Source organism: Homo sapiens, chromosome 13 (assembly GCF_000001405.40).
Source record: "Homo sapiens chromosome 13, GRCh38.p14 Primary Assembly".
Classification (NCBI taxonomy): domain Eukaryota; kingdom Metazoa; phylum Chordata; class Mammalia; order Primates; family Hominidae; genus Homo; species Homo sapiens.
The window spans coordinates 80,941,331-80,964,149 of NC_000013.11; the positions used below are offsets into that span (position 1 = coordinate 80,941,331).

General features: G+C 31.7%; 1 annotated feature.

The window, feature by feature from the left end:
• Window positions 3,885-4,545: an enhancer, noted in NCBI's record as "OCT4-NANOG hESC enhancer chr13:81519350-81520010 (GRCh37/hg19 assembly coordinates)". NCBI's record gives its function as "activates a minimal SCP1, AML or CMV promoter by ChIP-STARR-seq in naive H9 embryonic stem cells {active_cell/tissue: H9 hESC(naive)}" and the evidence as "EXISTENCE:reporter gene assay evidence [ECO:0000049][PMID:30033119]".

The following is a 22,819-nucleotide window of genomic DNA, read 5'->3' on the forward strand; positions in this document are numbered from 1 at the left end:
TCTTATCATTTGTAACATTCCTAACATTCATCTCACTCTTCCATATTTGCAATGACACAGTGCATATTTGGAATTATTACTTTGACTAATTATTTCTTCAAAATGAAGGAGAAATAAGAAGTTTTTTAGACAAACAAAATGTATGTTGAGATAATTAACTGCTAGCAGTACTGCAACAAATGTTGAAAAAGCTTCTCAGGAAGACAGAAAATAATATAGGCCAGAAACACATATACACATAAGGAAAGGAAAAGTATCAGAAAAAAATAAATAAATGAAGGCAATTTTAATTTTAGACAAAGCTAACTTTTGAATAAGAAAAATTACCAGTGACAAAAAGAAATATTACACTATAATCAAGAGGCCAATTATTCAAGGAGATATAACAACTTTAAACATGTATGCACCTAACAATAGAGCATTAAAATATATAATAATACTCATATTATTGCTAATATTATCTATGACATCAATCAAGAATAAGAGAACTATTTTATTTTACCTTCATTTAATTCTCCCCAAATCCATTTGTTTGTCTAAGAAACTTCTTGTTTATCCTTCATTTTGAAGAATGATTTCACTGAGTGTAGAATTCTGGGTTGATAATACTTTTCTTTCAGTAGTTTAATTTTTCTGTTTTTTTGGTTCCATTGTTTCTGACAATTAGTTTTCTGTAATTCTTATTCATTTTCCTCCTTATCCATTTCCTCCTTTGTTTAGTTCTTGCTTTCTTTCAAGATTTTCTCTTTGTCTTAATTTTTGTCGTTTTGAATATGATGTGCCTATGTGCATATTTTTAAATATTTGTCCCATTTGGTATTCTCTCAGCTTCCCAGGTATATGAATTGGCATCTGTTATAAGTTTTAGAATGTTCTCAGACATTATTATTTTAATATTTCTTCCATTCTATTTCCTCTTCCTCCTGCTTTCTCCTCCTCCTCTTCTTCTTCTATCTGAATTACACGTATTTTGCATATTTTTAAATTACCCCAGAGTTCCTATATACTATGCAGTGCCTTTTTAAATTATTTTTCTCTCATTTTATTTAAGTTTGAGACATTTCATTTGACATATATTTTAGGTTACTGATTATTTCATCAGCTGTATATACACTGTTGAGGAGATAATCGAAGCCTTTTTATTCCCTTTTCTGAGCAATTTTCCATTACATTAATGTAGATTATTTTTTATTTTATTCAGGTATTTAATTCAGATCGCTATTATCTTATCCAATGCTATTTTGACATGGCCTAAGATTTGATGCTACATAAGATTTACTAACTACTCAAGAATATATTACTTGGACATGAAAGAACTCAGGTTCAAGTTTATTCATTTACTAAGTTAGTTAAATCATGTGCCTTCTATGAGCCTTCATTTGGTAACTTGGAAAATGGAAATAATAACACTAGTCATATATATTCTACACTGCTACCATATGGACCAAAGGGATTATAGATTACAATCACCATCATTCCTGCTGACAGGTATATAGAAAACAATTTCATTGAAGAAAAGTCCTTACATTTATCCTTTTCCTAATATCTGCATGGGTAAACTAATAAATATAGTCATTAGAAAACCCTTATTATTATTATTAGTTCAATGTGAGAACTGCTGCAGAAAAAATATGCTTTATAATATTTTCTTGAATATACATAATATTCATAAATTTTCAAATCATTGAAAATTACCTTAAAATTGGAAAAAATGTGCATTTCTACTCATATAACAGTATAAAATTCCTATGTCAATCTCTTTTTTTTTTTTTTTGTTTTGAGTTGGAGTCTCGCTCTGTCGCCCAGGCTGGAGTGCAGTGGCACAATCTCAGCTCACTGCAACCTCCACCTCCCAGATTCAAGTCATTCTCCTGCCTCAGCCTCCTGAGTAGCTGGGATTACAGGCATGCGCCACCATGCCTGGCTAATTTTTGTACTTTTAGTAGGGACAGGGTTTCACCATATTGGTCAGGCTGATCTCAAACTCCCGACCTCAGAGGATCCACCTGCCTTGGCCTCCCAAAGTGCTGACGTGAGCCACCGCTCCCGGCCCCCTATGTCTATCTCTAAAAAATAGGCACTGAATTTGTTTCTTAATGTAAAGAATGAATGAATACATATTATTTTGTGAAAGGTATTTCTCTTTCAGTTGAAAAATATAGTTCTTGTATTTCTTTGTACATCAGAGAATTTTGTATATTTTCTACAACATTTATTTTTCTCTTCAGAATTGATCTAGACTCTGGAACAAATGTTTTAGCAAAAAGTATGAGGATAAAACTAGACCAATGGTTTTTAAAGCAATTTCAACTTAGTAGGTTTATTTTTAAGTAAAAATAGTCCAGTGAATTTGTTTTCAGGTGAGCAAGTCTTAATTATAGCATTTATTTGAGTCTCAGCCAATTTGAAACTATTAGAAAATTAAATACTACAAGAGAGCACAATTACTTAAATGCAGTCTTTGTTTCATTCAGTTTTTGATAGCATTATAAAAACTCATTTCGTTGTTTACAGATTTTAATTTTATTATAAATTTAAAATATTTTATATGGTGTTAAATATATAGGGATGCTGACGAATATGCATTTTTGTTTAATGTGTGCTTTCCTTGTAATGTAAAATCTTTATGTTTAATTTATCTTGTTTTTATATATTTATGTCACCATTTAACTTTGCAGAGTTATTTAATCTGTAAGGGCTTTGGAGATGATTTGTAGACTTTATTTTTGGAATCTAGTAGAGAATCAATAATTGAATACAAACGTGTGAAGTAGTTTCAATAAAATAATCAAAGTTAGATCTCTTCCCACTGAAAAGTTACATTCTATTAAAGGGAAAATCAATCATCCCTAGAGGATGTATAAGGCAAATGACTTTTTGCCCACTGGATAAACCTCATGATTTTGAATCAGTCCTTATCTTTTTACTAACAATCAATCCAGCAACCTCATTAAGATAGGTGTGATGAAATGTTAAATTTGACTCTTTGAGTTCCTCCTCTTTTCATCAAAAGTTTTATCACTTTAACAGGTGACACCTATGTGTTTATTATTATTATTAAAAGACATATATGCTTTATAGAAAATGTTTTACTAAACATGAGAAAACGTAAAAGTTTGATACAGATATATTTCTTTCAATTTGCATATGCAAGTACCAGGGAACTTAGCACTGTTTATAGTCTATAAACCATAATACACTTGCAACAATTAGTTTTAGTTAAGATAATCTCTCTACTAAAACAGGTAATATATATGTCTTATCTTTGAGAATAACAGTCTTCAATGACATTTTGAAGTTTTATTTTTTAGTCAAGTTTTCCACTCGTATATTTAATACTCAATTTTAGAGGTCAACATTGTTTTCATAATGAATAGTGTAACCAGCATGTAATAACATTAAAACTATGTTAATGCTATAAACAGAGCCACTTTCTTCCAGAAAACTTCATTTTTCCTTACAGCACTGAAATGAAGATAAAGCTCAAGTAACAACCCACACTTTTATTTCTTGTCAATAATAGTAAAAAGATAACTAGAGAATTTCATTAGCACTTTTTCAAATATAAGATATTTCTTTGACCTCCTTTCACACAGTATTTTAAATTTGCCTGGGGGAAGAACTAAAAGATTTTTCTGTTTTAATTATATTTTAATAACTTTTCCAAAGACAAATGTTGATGTTTATTTTACTGTTCCTAGTTTAAATAATATGTTTGAAGTTTAATATGATGATCTTTATGTTTATATAATTAACAAAAAAAATCTTTCTCATACTCTGAAAATAAACTAATGCTGTGCTTTTCCAACAGTTCTCTAAGCTGATTTATTTTTTTAATTTGGATTTTTGCATATATTCAAATTCCAGAATGGGGAGGCTCATAGAAATAATGAGCATTGCACTGAATGTTGCAGAATATGTATATAGTTAGATTAATAAAGAGAGAGGAACCATTTATACATTATTTAAATTTTCTTAAAATATATACAATCATTTATAATTTCTGATGACTCTCAAGAAGTGGGTCAGATAGAATATCTTTAGTACTGATTTTCTAATCTTGTACATAATACACTAATTACCCTGCAGCAGTGAGGGCATTCAGTGCTGGGACCTTTCCCAGGCTCTGAGCCTCACTCTTTCAATGTGCGCTGCCGGTCTATTAGCCATTAACAGTGTCTCAAACAGCAACTGCCAGCAACTGCAAACATCCGGCCTCTGGTGAGAGGTATAAAGGGCCAATTGATAGGAACAAACTTCAGGATGCCTAGAATTGCCAGGACAATAGCAATTTCATTCTTTGGGATTTAATAGAGAACACAAGTAAAGGAAAAACAGAAACTACTGTTGTCCTTATGTAAGATGCCATTTTAATTTGACATAATTGCAAAGATTATTTTTAATGTGGCTTTTCAAAAAATTCCTGGACGATGGCTATTTCATTCTATGAGTTAAAAAATACTTAATGGAAAACATAAATATAAAATAAGAAATTAAGAAAAAAAAACCTTGTCGTTGAGCTTATTTAACATTCTAGTTCAGTTTGACAAAATTGCACTAATATTTTTCATGTGATTTTTTTCTAAAGTTTTTTTTTAATTCAAGTATCATTGTAGAAAATCTTAACATATTTGACATGATGTTTAATAAACAATCAAGTTGATCTTATAGAAGACTGCAGATTTTTGATGTATCTGTTTTTTCCTGGTCAGAAAGCAGCTAAACAGTTATGCAGCTTCAAAGTTAGCAGGTAATTTAATAGACAAATAAATCTGTTTTTTACAACTGTGGCTTAATGCCCTTTTAGGATTACTCATTTAGTTGTTCTTCCTGTTTCCTGATCAGTTATAAATTTCCATTATCTCTGGATGACTTCTCTGCTATGATTACTTACATTACATCCCTAATTCAAAATGGTAAAAGAAAATGTAGTCTTTTTAATTATGTCATTATCTCTAACAACATATTAAATCATAACATGATGCAATCTTACAATTTTTGAATAAATTATGAAATGTTAGGAAAAAAGATAATCTTCATTTATCAAATAAATATAACTCCAGAATACATATTTTAAAACTGATATTCTCTTTCTATAAAGCAAAACTTAAAACAATGAATTATGGGTTGTCCCAATTTTATGTTTCTTAAGACTAGCTATTGTGACTAAGTAAAACATAGTATTGCATGAGATGCTACGATTAGCTGTGACATCGCTGAAAATTGTTCCTTGAGTTTGTGTCCCATTTAACTAGAATCTAACTGTGGTATATCAATGTATTTGGTGCCCAGCCACTTGGGTATGCACATGAAGAGATTGAAGAAATATAATAACCAGAAGATGTGTTTTGCCAACAATTAACTTCTAGTTATTTGATGTGAAGAGTTGGTTGATTTAAATGGTTTCTTTCTTTTTCAAGCATGAACAGAGTTTAACCTCCTTTTCGTTACGTTTCTGATAGATAGAAGAATAACAAAAAAATCCTCCAAAAATGAAAAATAAAAAAACCCTGTATCATATTATTTTAAACATATTCTCAACATTTGAGATTTTATTGAACTGTTCAACATTTTGTTTGTTTAATTAGTTAATGAAGATAAATAATAGATTAAATAACGACCGAGATGTTTTCAAACATAATACATTTTCAAAGTAGTAATTCTAAAAGATAGCTTTTACATAATGTAATAATTACTGCAGAGGAAGAAGAATGTGGGTATAAACTAAACAAAAATATATCTGTCCTTCTCAAAGCTAGAGAGGATTAGAAAATAGAAGAAAAAGATTAGAAGAGAGGAAAATGGAAATAACAAAGGAAAACAGGGTGTATATTGTTGATAGAAGACATCTCTCAAAGCGTTTCATTTTATTTTTCAGGCTGTTTGTACATGTTAAGGGAAAAACTTCATGTAAGAATTCTGGTAACTGCAACAAGATTTGGCTACACCTCTAAAATTTAGACAAGTAGAGCTCTGAGTTTTCATTTTTTCCAAAGAACATCTCAAACACTCTATACTCCAAATTATCTATAAATAATGCCATGCTAATGATTGTCTCAATCTTTTTTCACAAATGAACCAAAAATTTCTCTTGATAATACTATTTCCTTCTCCATGCAGCCCATATGCCATCGACTGTTGCCTAATGTTCATAAATGAATAATTTCTATATTCATTTTTAACAAGCAATAGATAATGTGATCATTTTAACAATTAAATTATCTCATATATTAAACTTTTAAATTTGATGAATGTCGGAGGTTACTTGTTAAATGATCAGGGATCAATAAATTGTGGCTCATAGATCAAATTTAGTCTACCACCTGTTTTGTGTAGCTTGTAAACTAACATAATTTTTGAAATTTTTAAACGAATGAAGAAAAAGGAAAATGGGGTTTTGCAAAACATGAAAATTGGCCAGTGGCTTGCGCCTGTAATCCCCACACTGTGGGAGGCCAAGGGGGCCAGATCACTTGAGGTCAGGAGTTTGAGACCAGCCTGGCCAACATGGCGAAACTTTGTCTCTACTAAAAATACAAAAATTAGCTGGGTGTAGTGGCGCATGCTTGTAATCCCAGATACTAGGGAGGTTGAGGTGGGAAAACTGCTTGAACCTGGGAGGCGGAGGTTGCAGTGAGCCGAGATTTGGCCACTACACTCTAGCCTGGGCAACAGAGTGAGACTCAGTCTCAAAACAAAACAAAAAACACATGAAAATGATATGAAATTGAAATTACCGTGTCCATAAAGTTTTATTAAAACACAGGCATAACCATTTATTTATCTATTGTGTTAAAATTCTTGCACATTATAAAAGCAGAATTTAGTATTTGCTATAGGGACTACGTGCCTGCAAATTCTAATATATTTGTTATCTGTTGCTTTTAAGATCTGGCCCTTTTACAGAAAATTTTGCTGATTCCTGGTTTAGATAAATCTATTGTAAACATGGACATTAAGCTATTGTTTGATGACTTGTTCATTTGTCCAGTAAACTTATACATATATACTTTCTTGTATAATACCTTTTAAAATATATTTTATTAGTTTCTAGGTCTACATTTTTTGGGACATATAATAATATGCTTCTTGCTTTTAAGTAAAATAAAATTAAATATACATGACTGTTAGAAATCTTCTAAGAGTTAAAGAGAATAAGACAAACTAATGATAATAATACCTTCAATTTTTAGAAACGTTTAAGGGTTTAATTCAAAATGCAGAATCACATATTTAATATCATTTGATTCCAACAGAGTTTTAGTGAAGTAAGCAAATCAGATATCATGTCTGTGTTATATGAATGTACACATTGACTGAAAGTTATGACTTTTCCAAGATAAAGCATCAGAGGTAACTTTACCATGACAAAGTGATATACTTTTCAATATATTACAGTGACAATGGTCATGAAAAACTTCACTATAGTATTTTAATTGGGCAGTGAAGAATCTTGCAGTTGGATTCAATAGAGAGACACTGGAAAAAGAATACACAGAAGAGGCAAAACTGAAATAGCACTAAGTGGAGGTACAAAGATTTGTTAGGCAAATGATAAATAATACACAAATATTGTTGAAGTGTAGTGTTTAAATATTGGTAATTGTAAAATGATAACGTTTCAATGACAAGTGTGACTTTTGGAATTCTTAATAAAAATTTGAAATTAAATCACTTAAATATAACATACAATCTCCGATTCAGATAAAACAATTACATTGGGAAACCCTGCATTTGCTAACTGTGGGAAGAATAAACATAGTACATGGTGCTGGAGGAAAGACAGAAAGTGGGTGGTCTTGAATGCTAGACATTTGAGGTACTATATGTCCATAACATTTTACTCAAAGCCTTTTGTGACATTTTTCTTTTGTTTTGTTTCTTGTCATTTTCTTTCTTGTCTACATTACCTTCTTTTCCTCTATCTTTCTTTCTTTCATTGTTCTAGTTTTATTTCTGTGATTGCTGTTAAAATGGTACATATGAAGTATATTAAATGTATGGTACACAAATGAACTCAGAGGCAGTACCTTATGACCAAATACGGTACTATATCTGCAACAAAACATACAAATATTATTTCTGAGTGGAAAAAAATGACTAAACAGTCTAAGTACAATGTAGGTCAGGCATTACTTTTAAATGAATTTGCCCCAAACATATACATATTTTTTTTTCTTTTCACAACTACTGGCATATTTGCAATTATGAATAAGAGATTGAGAATTTATACTAAATTTTGGAGAAATGTAAACTATTAAAGATCTTTGAGCAAAATTTTGGTAGCTTGTTTCTTAATTATTTCCTTTGTTTTTGAATACAGAATAGAACTGAAGTGAGAGAGAACCTACAGGTAGAGAGAACAATCTATGAACTATAGTATAATTTGCACAAAGTGCTATAGGCTTGAACTAAATGCTAAAGATAGAAATCAGAGGAATAAATTGATCTAAAAGAGGTTGGAATAAATTTGACAAGATTTAATGGCCCCTTCATTATACTTGTTGATGCACTTAAATCTCTATAAATCCAGATTGCACATTCTCAGAATAATAATTTTTAAAAATTTTTAATATTTAATCTCTGTGATGAACATGGAAAGATTATGAATGGAATCAGTTAGTAACAAGTCAGATCACTAAAGATAGCTTCAGAAAGATCTACCCCTGTCTAGTATCAGCACAAATAAAAAATAATTAAGTCCCTACCATTAAATAAACTTTTATTTAACACTTACTATTTTCCTCATGCTATGTGAGACAGAGGACACAAATGTAAAAAAGACAGTCTCTTTTTTTTAAGCCACAGTATTGGAGAAATAAATATATACAAATAATCCCAATTTAGAGTGATAAATGGCATAGCAGTTGAGTATAAAAGGTAGAAAAGGTGAAGGGAAAAAAAGGTAAATTCTTTCTGATGCCTCTAATTACAGAGTAGGGAGAGTGAAAATCAGAAACATTTAGATAAAAAATATACAGCTGAACTGAATCCAAAAGAATGATTTCCACATAGAAAGGAGAGTAAATAATGTTTGCAAACATGCAGACCTGCAGAAGATCACAAGGTGTATAGCGGAACCAAGTAACTTAAAATGTGCAGAATGTGAGCTAAGTTTAAGAAAGAGCCAGAGATAAAACTGAAAAGAAAGGAAAGGTCAAGGTTAAAAAAAAGGCATACTTAGAAGCTCACTTTGGTTACTCTTTATAGGAAAGAATTGGATTGGGAGGGTGAAGCTTTGTATCTTGGCATGAGTCTAGTTTAAAAAAAAAAGACTATTCAGAAATTGAGATAATGTATGTATTATGAAAGTGGAAGCAGAAATGAGTAGAAAGAGATGGATTCAAGAGCTATTTTGGAATTAGAATCCATAGGAAATGTCACATAAAATATTGGTAGCAGGACAGTTGAAAAAAATACATAGGCTACCTTCCACATTGTAATTCCATTTGCTTGGAGGATATTTGGCTCAAAAATCTCAATAAGAAATATAGAAAAAACTGAGTTTGGAGTGGAAATTATTAATATAAGTTTGAAAATTTGAGTTTCAAACACCTATCACACATATAGATAGATGCCAATATGGTATGTAAACAGAGGAACCGATATTATGAATAGGACATGTGATTGATAATCTAGAGCAAGTAGGTAGTAAAATCATGCTATTGATGCTGGAGCCATTGTACACCTCTTGCTTTAAAAAAATAAACCTCAACCTAAACTTCATATCTTATTTAAATTTATCTCAAAATGGACCATTAAATGTAAAATGTAAAACCATTACAATTTTAGAAAAAAAGAACAGAAATAGTCATCATCATCTAGGCTGAGGGAAAGGTTCTGAGACTTGACCCCCAAAATTATCCATAATAAAAAAATTGATAAATTGAGTGCATCAAAATTAAAATATTTTGCTCTACAAAGACTCTGTTACATGGATAAAAAGACAAGCTGTAGACTTGGAGAAAATATTTGCAAACCATATACCCAACAAAAGAATAGTAACTAGAATATATAAAGACATGTCAAAAGACAATAGTATAAAAAAGAAAAATCAAGTAGAAAATGGGCAAAAGACCTGACACATAGTTAAAGCAAAGAGCACATACAGATAGCTAGTAAGTGCGTAAAAAGGTGCTCAACATCATTAGCCAGTAGAGAAATGCAAATTAAAAACCACATTTCACTGCCAGAAGCAGTCTGCATTATACAAAATTAATAAAAGTCACTAATTTCTGCAACTTTCTATTTTATTTGCTTCCATGGCAAATTGTTGATTTTTGTGTCATTTCTCCATTTCTTTTTGAGGTTCCTTCCTTCTTCTTCCCTAAATTGAATGTGACCACTACTCAGCAATATTTTTTTATTTCTGTCTAAAATATTTCTTAGAGATTTTATGTTTATGACTTCAAATTCCAAATTTTCATTAATGATTTAGTGTGAATTGTTTCTTTAAGCTTTAAGTGAGTAAAAAGTAATATCTATCAGAATGGCTAAAATTTAAAAAAAATGACATCAGATGTGGGTGAGGATGGGAAGAAACTAGATTGCTGGTGGGAATATAAAATAGTATAGCCACTCTGTATAACAGTTTGGCTGTTTCTTATAAAACTAAACATTCAACTACCATATTACCCTATAATCATTTCCTTGGGCATTTATCTCAGAGAAATAAAAACTAACATTTATGCCCCAAAATTACATAAATATTTGTATTAGATTTATTTATAATAGCCAAAAACTGGAAAAATTCAGATTTCCTTCAACAGATCAATAGTTAAAAGATAACCCCCAAAACTCTGGTACACGCATATCATGAAACATTACTCATCAATCAAAGTAAACAAATTATCAATACAATGCGATAACCTGGGTGCATCTATAAAGAATTATATTGAGTGAGAAAAGTCAGCTCCAAAATGTTACATACTACGTGGTCACATTTGTATAACATTCTTAAGATGAGAATAATGACAGATATACAAGACAGATTGTTAGTTGCCAGGGGTTAAGATGGTGTGAAGATAGGAGGGAAGTAGGTGTCACAGTAAAAGGGCAGCTTGTGTGAATAGAAATGTTCTGTGTCTTGACTATGTAAATGTCAATATCCTGACTTGCAAGATGTTACTATTAATAGGGATGAAGTAAAAGGCACACAGGATCTCTCTATATAACATATCATAAATGTAAAACTATAATTATCACAAAAGAAAAAGTTTAAAAAAGTAGAAGTTGATGGATTTGCAGTTGTATCCAGGAGGGTAATGTACATTATTTAGATAGATCAAGTAGACAAAAGTGACAAAGTATAAATAATGTTAATTATAAATTAACAAAACTAAAAAATACCATTAATACTTACAAAATATTATTAATTAAATGTTTATCTGAATTATGCAAATACATTTTATAAATCTATATAAAATTTTCTATCATGAAAACTGAACATATAGCCTTTACAAGTGCCCAGAGAGGAGTAAAAAATAAACATATCATAATGCACATATATATGCTGTGATAAATTCAACAGCACTGCCCAAATTTTCAGGCTACAATATTACAAATTAGAATTGTTAAAATTATTAACAAAGTTCAATCAGTTAGAAATTTATCATACCCTCCAATAATTCTTACAGTGAAAACAGGAGTAAAATTAGACCATGTAGAAAATGAATGTTTGTGCCACCAACAATCATATGAAAAAAAGCTCCAAATCACTGATCATTAGAGAAATGCAAATGAAAACCACAATGTGATATCATCTCACACCAGTCAGAATGGCTCTAATTAATAATTGAAAAAATTGTAGATGCTGTTGAGGTTGTGGAGAAAGGGAACACTTACATGCTGTTGGTGGGAGTTTAGGTTAATTCAACCATTGTGAAAAGCAGTATGGCAATTCCTCAAACAGCTAAAAGCAAAACTTCCATTTGACCTAGCAATCCCATTACTGGTTATATACCCAGAGGAATATAAAGCATTCTGCCATAAAGACACATGCACACAAATGTTCATTGCAACACTATTCACAAGAGCAAAAGCATGGAATCAACTTAAATGTCCATCAATGATAGACTGGATAAAGAAAATGTGGTACATATACACCATGGAATACTATGCAGCCATAAAAAAGAATGAGATCATGTCCTTTGCGGGAATGTGAATGGAGCTGGAGGCCATTATCCTTAGCAAACTAACACAAGAACAGAAAACCAAATACTGCATGTTAGTGGGAGCTAAATGATGAGACCACATGGGGACGTAGAGGAGAACAACACACGCTGGGGCCTGTCAGATGGTGGAGGGTGAGAGGAAGGAGTGGAGGGAGAGGGTCAGGAAAAGTAACTAATAGATGCTAGGCTTAATACCTGGGTAATTAAATAATCTGTACAACAAACTCCCATAACACAAATTTATCTATGTAACAAAACTGCACATGTACCCTTGAACTTAAGACAAAAGTTTAAAAAAGAAGAAAATGAATGTTTGCATATGCAATTAAAAACATATATATTGCATATAATACATGCAAGAAAGAGATATATAATAAAATAATCAGTGTTTATATATTTTAATGCCTTCAGAATACTTTGGTATCTCTACTCATAGCCATAAGTGCTCCCAAATGAAGAAGCTAAAGGCATTCCGATGTGTAAAGTAAGTATTAAATAGGGATGCCAGAGAAGAACATTAAAGCAATCTTAAATGGTAATGAAAATAAAGATAAGATGAAGCATTAATGAATCAATAATGGAATTAATAAAACATAAAGCCAATAGTTGTTTCTTTACAAAAAAGTTTATAGTCAAATAGAAAAATCAATTATACCTCAGAAAAATATAACCATAGATTCTGAAAAAATTAAATATAAGCAATATTAATGACAACTTTAATCTTTTACATGAAAATTTCAGCCTCATCACAGTTTTACAAGATAACAAATGTCCTAAAACTTAACAAGAGAAAGTTAAGAAACTTGAACTCTCCACTAAACATAAAGAAATGTGGCACAGGCTCATATTACTAGTAATCACTTTTAATTTCCCAATACATAGGTAATTGCTATATACAAATTGTGATATTATTTTAACTTTGTATTAATCTCAAAGAATATCACACTTAGAAAACTGCTAAATATGATACCATTACAGTTAAAATATATGCTCTTTGGAAAGCTGAAGTTATATTTCCTCTAGGCTAAATGATACTAACAAAATCTCCAACCATTGGAAATGTGAGCTGTTATTTTGAGCTGTTAAAGAGTAAAAAAGACAGAGCAAGAAAAAAGTAACATAAGTTATTCCTGATTTATTTTATTCCCAACGTTAGCAAAATTCCATGGAATATGTTTTCAATAGTGATGGACACTATACATAGTCATAGGCAATGTCTCTGCACTTTCCCTGATAAGTTAGTAGTGAGATTGAACTCATCAAGTAAAATGAAGTCAATTGCATTTAGCAGAGATTTGCAGCTATTCACGTATCTGGAAGAACTAAAGGAAGAGTTAGCCTTATTTTAACTTTTTGGCAATTGCACCACCTGTCTCTTCAAAAAGACCATATTTAAATGTCCTTTTACAATGTCACTATAAGGTAGCTTAACTCTTAGTTGGTAGTCACCTTTCACTAAAATTTGCATCAATTTTCCTCTAAGAGTTCAATATTTATCAGGCAATCTACAGAAAATTCAACTACTATGTAATTTCCTTGCTGATGAATACATATTTAAAAAGTATGCTATCATTCAAACAGTAATCAAATATAATCATACACCAGAGTATATTTTACCATATAACTCTATTAATATAATGAAATGCAGAGGTAAATGGAAAATATTTACATAGGTATAAAATAATTGGCATATATGAAAGGTTTTCAGAATATTTTCTTTAATATATATAGATATCTTTGAAAGGCAGGAAAGTTTTCTTGGATATCGTCTTGTGCCCTTTGTCTGCCTCTTTCATTAAACCATCTTAAATCTGTTCTTATGTGTTCATATGCCAACCATGTGCAATCTGGCTGTTCGTACTCGTACATTTAATGCATAGAATATCTTTACTACAATAAGTTCATACCCACTGAAAATAGACTAGAGGGAGACAGCAAGTAGGTCATTGCTAGCAAGTCATTGCTAGCTTTGAAATTATCCCTAATCTGATGCTAGATTTGCACTTTGCCATCCATAATTTTCTTGATATTTAACCAGTAATCCATTTGAAATTGACAGTGTTTTTATATTTATGTTACATTTGTGATTAGCTTCTGAACAGATGTACTTCTCCCTGTGATTCATTGTGTGTTTCAATAGGATTTATTTCTGAATTTCTTTCTCTTGTGATGCTGACTCACTAGGAAAACCATATCCTGACCTGTTTCCTCCACTCCACTCAATCTCCTCTATAAGGAAGCAAAATTAAATTATGACTATGTTAATTGCTAGAGATATGCCAAAAAAAAAAAAAAAAAAGCTCCTGGACCAGGAGTCAGAAGCCCCACAACTTAGTCTAAGTTTAACCTGTTGGTGTAACATAGGCCTTCTCTGAGTCTTAATTTCTTTAGTAAATAGAGAAATGTAGTGACATAGATGGAGCTGGAGGCCATTATCCTCAGCAAACTGCATTAGCAGTAGCAGAAACCAAACACTGCACCTTCTCACCTGTAAGTGGGAGCTAAATGATGAGAACACATGGACACAGAAAGGGGAAAAACACATACTGGGGACTATGGGAAGGTGGGAGGTGGGAGGAGGGAGAGGATCAGGAAAAATAACTAATGGGTACTAGGCTTCATACCTGAGTGATTAAATAATCTGTGCAACAAACTCCCATGACACAAGTTTACCTATGTAACAAACCTGCACATGCACCCCTGAACTTAAAAGTATAAAAAAGTACAAATTGGGTCATATCACCCCGCTACCCCCTTTCTAAATCCAATCAATGCCCCTCTTCCTTATTGAATAAAACCTCCTCTTGTCCACATGAACGCCCCCTCCAAAAAAAATTAAAGATTGGTATGTTGAAAGCTTCTGGAGTCCCAAAAGTCTTTAAGACTTCAGGCATCAAAGAAATAAGCCTTAAGGGAATACTGTTAAGTCAGAACATTTGAGAAGATTTGCCTTGAACAAGAGTCCTTGAAATGACATCATTTAAGTAGCTATATATTCAACCTATGCACAAATGTAATATGAAGATATGTTCAATTAAGGCTTGTTGAGTATCTCAGTGCAGTAGCTAAAATTACATTATTAAGTAATGGCAAAAAATTAACTGGGTGTCTTGCTTTAGTGCCAACTAAAAGGAATGGTGAAGTTTGCCCAATCTGATCAGATGTGTTTTCAAAATATTATTTGACTTCAGTTTTTATTAACCTGCTCAGCAAAAATCCGTTTGTATAGCACTCAGAGAAAGGGTAGTGTGTTATCTTGTTCAACTAAAGACATTATATATTCAAGTTATAATTTACTGCCTTGGTGTAATAAAAAGCAAATACATTTTTCCCTAATATTTTTGTCACTCAAATACAAAGTTTTTCAAAATCAAAATATGTTTATGTTTATCTTATATGGTGTTTTACAGCAGGAATATTGAGAATTAGGTTATTTTCAGAGTTAGATTGTGAAATTAAATCTCATAGAGTTAATTTAAATATTTACTGTGGATAAGAAGGGGTGTAACATACTAAATCTAATATATTAATAGTAATAGGCACAGCTATCTAATTTGACTTGTTCTTTTGTTATCTACACATATAATATAAAAATCTTTAGGTTAGATAATTTCTTTTCCGAAAGAATTAGATGTTTCAGTTTTATCTTACTACCTAGGTACACAGACAATCATGGCTCTTTCCCATCCCAGGAAAGGTAAACATTTGTTTTCCCTAGAAATCCCTTAATGCTTATAGAGCAAAGTACTGTTATTTTAAAAATGCATTTCATCCTAACAGCCATACTTTCTAAGTATTTACTTAATACAAAGGAAGTAAGCTACAGTTCCTTTTAAATGTAGGTTATTACTTCAGTCTCCAACCCATTAAGTTTTCTAAACTAGGGCTTGCGGTATTTGGCATCAATTCTCCTATTCTTTTGATAAGTACCTAAACAGGATGTCCTTGAAAATTATATAAGAAATAGCTCTGCAAGTTTTCCGCCCTCAGGAATAAGCATTAAGATTGGCAGATGGCTTAAGTGGAAATACACAGAAATGCACTTTAGCCAGCATTAGAAAGTGTTCCAGCAGATATTACTGAGGTTAATTCATGAAGGACCATCTCACTTCCTTCTGAACTGAAATGTTTTAATGGCCTCAAGTTGAAGATGCTTAATTTGTGTAAACTATTCCAAGTTAGTCTCAGTGAGGGGAACTGGTATATAACTAGCATTATAAAAATGATGTTTGATTCTTTACCACAGGAATTTTATTTTTTGATAATGAAGAAAGAAGAAATATCCCAACTCAAACATTTTCCTAAATCTTGGACTGCTAAGTCATTCTGCATACAATTTAAATTCTCTATCTTTTTATATTTTTTCTCTTCTTATTCCCCTATTCAAGCACATAAAGTTAAAGTAATATGGCAAATATTTCATTATACTCTCAGAATTAAGTGTTCATAAGTTCATGAAAAATTTAAGTGCTCAGTAGTAATGTTATGCAAACATTTGAAACATTTCAATTAATTTTCCAAGTTAAAGATGTCATGTATTAGAAATAATTGGGGAAAGTCCATGAATATGGGAATTGGGAAAATATTAGTGTTTGAAAGTAATACCCTATTTTTATTTAATTCAGTATTTCATAAGCAGCAGGTATCCCTGTAGACTATAATAATTTTTGTGTTGATATTTCTAAAAGTATGAACATAATATATTCAACAAATAGGAAAGTCCTCAGAATTAACTCAAATGGGCAAAACGTGGAATTGTCCAGCATACTCCAGCAGTAGCATTTTTAGTGACATAAATTGAGCTTTCCTGTGCTTAAGTACCAACTAGGTAAAGCATAGGAAAATGCAAATAGAAAATATTCAAGGAATATGAAGAATTTTTAAACTTTTAGTATTAATTTTGTCCTTCAATCTACCAGCTTACTAGCAAGTCAGCTATCCACATTTCATTATGAGGATATACACATATTTGGTTAAACTGGAGGTCAAAAAATAAGGAACAATTAAAAAAATATTGATAATTGAGAGATTTAACTTCTAGGATTTTTCTTTCTTATTTAATTCAAATTGTATTACATAATTTCCTTTCAATCACTCTAACCTTTTACATATTGTATTGCTATCCTGAGAGTGTGTGTACTCTCTTCCCCGCTAACTTCAGTTTAATGGGAACAGAATAGAGTAGAATTCAGCTAAACACTAAACACTAAATGGACACTTATTACTATTTTATATACAGCATGTTCAGCTACCAGACATTCCCTACCTCCATTTATCCACATACTAAATTCTGCCTTGAAATTATCAGTAATATATAAGAACTTGGGGAAGTAAATTCTGTGAGCTAAAATGATCTACGTTCACATGAATCAATATATTTATAGATTTCGGTAACTGTTTTTAAAAACTAAACTTTAATAATAAAAATCACAGGAAAATAAATACATTTATAATTCATGTCATTAAAACAGAAACATTAAGAAACATGCAAAATTCTTCATAGGATATTTTCAAAATGTGTTATAATGCTAACTTGCTCAATTTGTGTGTGTTTATGTGTGTTTGTGTGTATTTTTCTGTATGTGTGTTGATTTTGGCTTTAGTTGTAAATTGAAAACAGAAGGCAAAATTACTTCCTTATTTCCTAAAAATATATACTATATTATCTTTTAAATAAGAGGTTGGAAATGTTTTTATTCAATGAACTACTTTTTTAAAAAAGCGAACTTAATGGTGTTTACATGAATATGAATTGCTATGGTTGTAGTTCTAAATGAGTCCAAATATCTCTGAGATTACCCCACCTTTTCCTTCTCTACTCCCAAGAAACCAAGAACTTTGTTTCTCAATTATTTCTTGTATACATCAAAGCTCCCATATTTCCAGTCCACACCTCTGTCATGAGGCCCAGAAAAGCCAGCTTCAATAAAATAAACCCTACACTGAAATCACTATAGTCATTCTCTTCAATCTGGATTTTTCTTTTGTATTCCCCAGACAATTCCATAGTATTACCCAAGATTATTACCCAAGTATTATTGCAAGAGTAATCTTTTAAAGCAAATATAATTATGTCATTCCTGCCAATAACATCCTTTCTAGAGCTTCATAACCTATACGAAAAAGTAGAAACTCCTCATCATAGCATAGTAGGTCAAGGACTTCCTAATCTAAGATTGTCTACCTTTCCAATTTACACCATACAGTAAGGAGATTCACACTCAACTGCCCTAAAATGCTATGGATTTTTTTTTTTTTTTTTGAGTCAGAGTCTTACTCTGTCGCCCAGGCTAGAGTGCAATGGCACGATCTTGGCTCACTGCAACCTCCATCTCCCAGGTTCAAGCAATTCTCCTGCCCCAGCCTCCTGAGTAGCTGGGATTACAGCCGCCTGCCACTGTGCCTGGCTAATTTTTGTATTTTTAGTAGAGACAGGGTTTCACCATATTGGCCAGGCTGGTCTCGAACTCCTGACTTCATGATCCACCTGCCTTGGCCTCGCAAAGTGTTGGGATTACAGGCATGAGCCACCATGCCTAGCCGCTATGGTATTTTTTATCAAAATTTTTCTTTTGCAGTATGTCATACTGAAATCAAAGTGTACAAATGAAATCATGCCAGTATGGTTGTGTATTTTTCTCTTTCTTTTTTAAGACCTGTCAATTTTTCCTGTGTGTATATTGATCTTAAACATTAGCCGCATTATTACAATTACCATTGTTCACAATTACTAAATTATTAAATTTTTTATTGGATTAAGTCATTTATCATTATAAAGTGTATTTTCTCACCTTTGCTATCACTTATTGCCTGAATCCTACTACCAAAACATCACCACTTTGATTAGTGTTTGCATGCTAATATCCTTTGAGTTTCAGCTTAAAAAAATATTTTTGGTATATTCTCTTGTAACCAGTATATTTTTGGATATTTGTCTTTAATCTAGTGTAAGCATTTCTATTTTTATTAAATATTTGATCTATTTATGTTTAATATATTCACTAATGTAGTTGGTTTCAATTTTGTCATTTTATTATTTCTGCCCTACTCATTTTGTTACTTTAGCTTTCCTTCCCTCCATTATTTTGGGTTAATTAAGTGTTCTTTCATGACTTCATTTTTTTCTCAGCTAGTTATATACTAAGAGTGTCCAAGTCTTGTTCCTGTTTTTCAAAAACAATTCTTTTTTAACTTTTAAAATTTATTTTTATTATTATTTTTTAATTTTTGTGGGTACATAATAGGTATATTTAGTTATGCAGTACATGAGATGTTTTGACACAGGCGTGCAATGTGACATAAGCACATTATGGGGAATGCGGTGTCAATCCCCTTAAGCATTTAACCTTTGAGTTACAAACAATTCAATTACACTCTAAGTTATTTTAGAATGTACAATTAAGTTATTATTGCCTATAGTCACCCTGTTGTGCTATCAAATAGTAGGCCTTATTCATTCTTTCTGTTTTGTTTTGTACACGTTAACCATCCACACCTCCCGCCAATCCCCCTGCTGCCCTTCCCAGCCTCTGGTAACCATCCTTCTACTATCTCCATGAATTCAATTGTTTTGATTTTTAGATCCCACAAATAAGTGAGAACATGCAGTGTTTGTCTTTTTGTGCCTGGCCTATTTCACTTAACATAATGACCTCCAGTTCCATCCATGGTGTTGCAAATGACTGGACAGCATTCTTTTTTATGGCTGAATAGTACTTCATTGTGTATACGTGCCACATGTTCTTTATCCATTCATCTGCTGATGGACACTCAGGTTGCTTTCAATTATTGGCTGTTGTGAACAGTTCTGCAACAAACACGGAATTGCAGATATCTCTTTGATGTATTGATTTCCTTTCTTTTGGGTATATACACAGCAGTGGTATTGCTGGATCCTATGGTAGCTCTTTTCTCAGCTTTTTGAGGAAGCTCCAAACTGTTCTCCATAGTGGTGGTATTAATTTACATTTCCACCGAAATATACAAGGAAATCTGTATGATTTCTGTATGATTACTCATCATTCACATCTTACTCCAAATGCAATGGCCTTTTCTCTAAATTCTTGCCAGCATTTGGGATTTCCTATCTTTGGGATATAAGCCATTTTAACTGGGGTGAAATGATATCTCATTTTAATATTCACTTGCAATTCTCTGATAACTAATGATGTTAAGCACTTTTTCATATGCCTGTTTGTCATTTGTGTGTCTTCTTTTGAGAAATGTCTATTCAAATCTTTTGCCCATTTTTTTGAGAAGAGTATTAGATTTTTTTTCCGTAGAGTTGTTTGAGCTCCTTATATATTTTGGTTATTAATCCCTTATCAGATAGGTAGTTTGCAAATATTTTCTTCCATTCTGTGGGTTGTTTCTTCACTTCGTTGATTATATCCTTTGCTTTGCAGAAGCTTTTAAACTTGATGCGATCAAAAGGAATTCTTCTAACATTACCAATATATTTGTAATAGGTAGTTAGTGAATAAAATGGACATATTTACAAAGCAAAGAAGTTCTCTTCTGGTAATAATTTTAATCAGCTCTATCATGTTTAATAAAAAGATTTATTGATTAGCAAAGCAAGATCCTTCCTTGTTCTACCAAATATGCTTTTTTTCTACATCTTTGAGAAGATCAGACAGTTTGCTTCTACCTAAAAATGTACAGGTAGAAAAAAAATTCCAAGGGCTAAGCCTGATAGCTTCCGTCAGACAGCAAGGCTCCAGCCTCGCACTCCTAATACCCGTATTCCACACAGTAGCCAGAGTGACCCTTCTAACGTTCAACTCAGATCATGATTTTCCTATGATTAATAATGCATTCCAATTTCAACAGTAATTAAATACATATTTATTACTATGGTGACAAGATCTTAGAAGATTAGTCATCCATCTGTTTGCTTGATTCTCATCTCTCGCCTTCCTTCCCTTATTCACTATATTTCAGTCATAATGGCCTTCCATCTCTCAAAATAGTCAAGTGCATTTTTATCTCAAGGCCTTTACATCATCTCTTCCTTTAGTTCGGAATATTTTTACGTATCTAGGGATTACTCATCATTCACATCTTACTCCAAATGCAATGACCTTAGAAGGCGATTTCTTAGCACTATTTCATCCCCATAGGGTCATTTTTTACCCCATATTACTTGTTTATTTATCCTGTGTTTATTTTCTGAATTATACCAATTCTTGTACTTGAATACTTAAATACTAGACTCTGTCTGAGTAATTTGCTGCTATATTCTCAATTTTTCACAGTGCTGGATATACAGTAGGCAAATATATGTGGACTATTTGACTACTTTAATTGCATGTCAAAAATAGAATCCGTGATTATTCCTATCCCAATTTGCTTCCCTCTTAGCACTTTTCCATTTAAGTAAATGACAACATTACTGTGGGTGTGTAAAGTTAAAACTTAGGAGTCACCTTACTTTTTCTTTTCAGTTCAATTCATTTACTAATTCTTGATTCTTTCCACAAAACATATGCTAATACTGTCTACTGATGTCTGTGTATTCTGCAATCATACTATTCCAGGCCAGTGTCATATTTCATTTGTTTGGGTATAAAGGCCCCTTGTGGTGGATTTATTAGTATTCAGAAATAGGTTCTGCCTCTCTCCTGGGAAGCCTTGTCTTTCTTCACACTGATGCTCTGGCTTGGCCGTGTAATTTCCTCTGAACAATTGAATGTGAAAATAAGTGTTACTTCTAGGCAGATTCACTAAGAATTAGAATCTCTAAAGTCAGTCTATCCTTTCCTCTGTTATGAAACAAGAAATTTTTTCAGCCAGAGTCTTCAGCTTCACCCACCTTGTTCTAGAGTGAGGATGAAGTTGAATAGGACTTTAGCCTACAGTGCACATACGATTTGTGCTTATAAACCCCTCATGATGATCATCTATTTGTTTTGTTATTGCAGTCATCTAGAAGTAAAATAACTAGGTCAAAATAATTAAGACATATTACTACAGGTGGTTACAATTTCTATAAAAATTCAAAGCTAAAAGCAGCACTGAGGTCTAGAAATTATATAAATAAATAGTAGTAAACAAAAAAACTATATTTGATTTATGGACTCGCAGAAGATTCATTATATCATCTTCAAGTTACTTATCAAGATGTTACTATCATGCTTAATTTCCTCAGCTAATTTTAAGATACTGTATGTTTGTATCATTAAATATCTCAATGACACTTTAGAGTATAAAGATGTTATTATTCACCCTTGTTTCCCCAGAACTGGAAGAGTATTTCTGTATAGTGAATGCTCCATTCATAGGAATTACTAAAAGAAAGATACATAGACAATGGGTAAATGAACAAATGCATATAGCAAAGCAAACTGAAATAACATATTCCAACATTATATGCATAACTAATTAAATCTTAGATACTGATAAGTGGAAAATTATAGTTGTATCCAAAGACAATATTAAAACTATTTCTTTGATTTGTCTGACGTAATAGGAGATGTCCCTTGTATATCTTCCTTCCAGAACATTTATTTCAATTATACCTGAAATTCCACCATTTGAGGATTGTCCCTTGTTCTCATGCATAGCAGTTTGGTATGGCTTTCTGTATATATGCAGAAATGATATTGTGTATTTTCCAGCTACTAAAATGAATTATTATATAATAA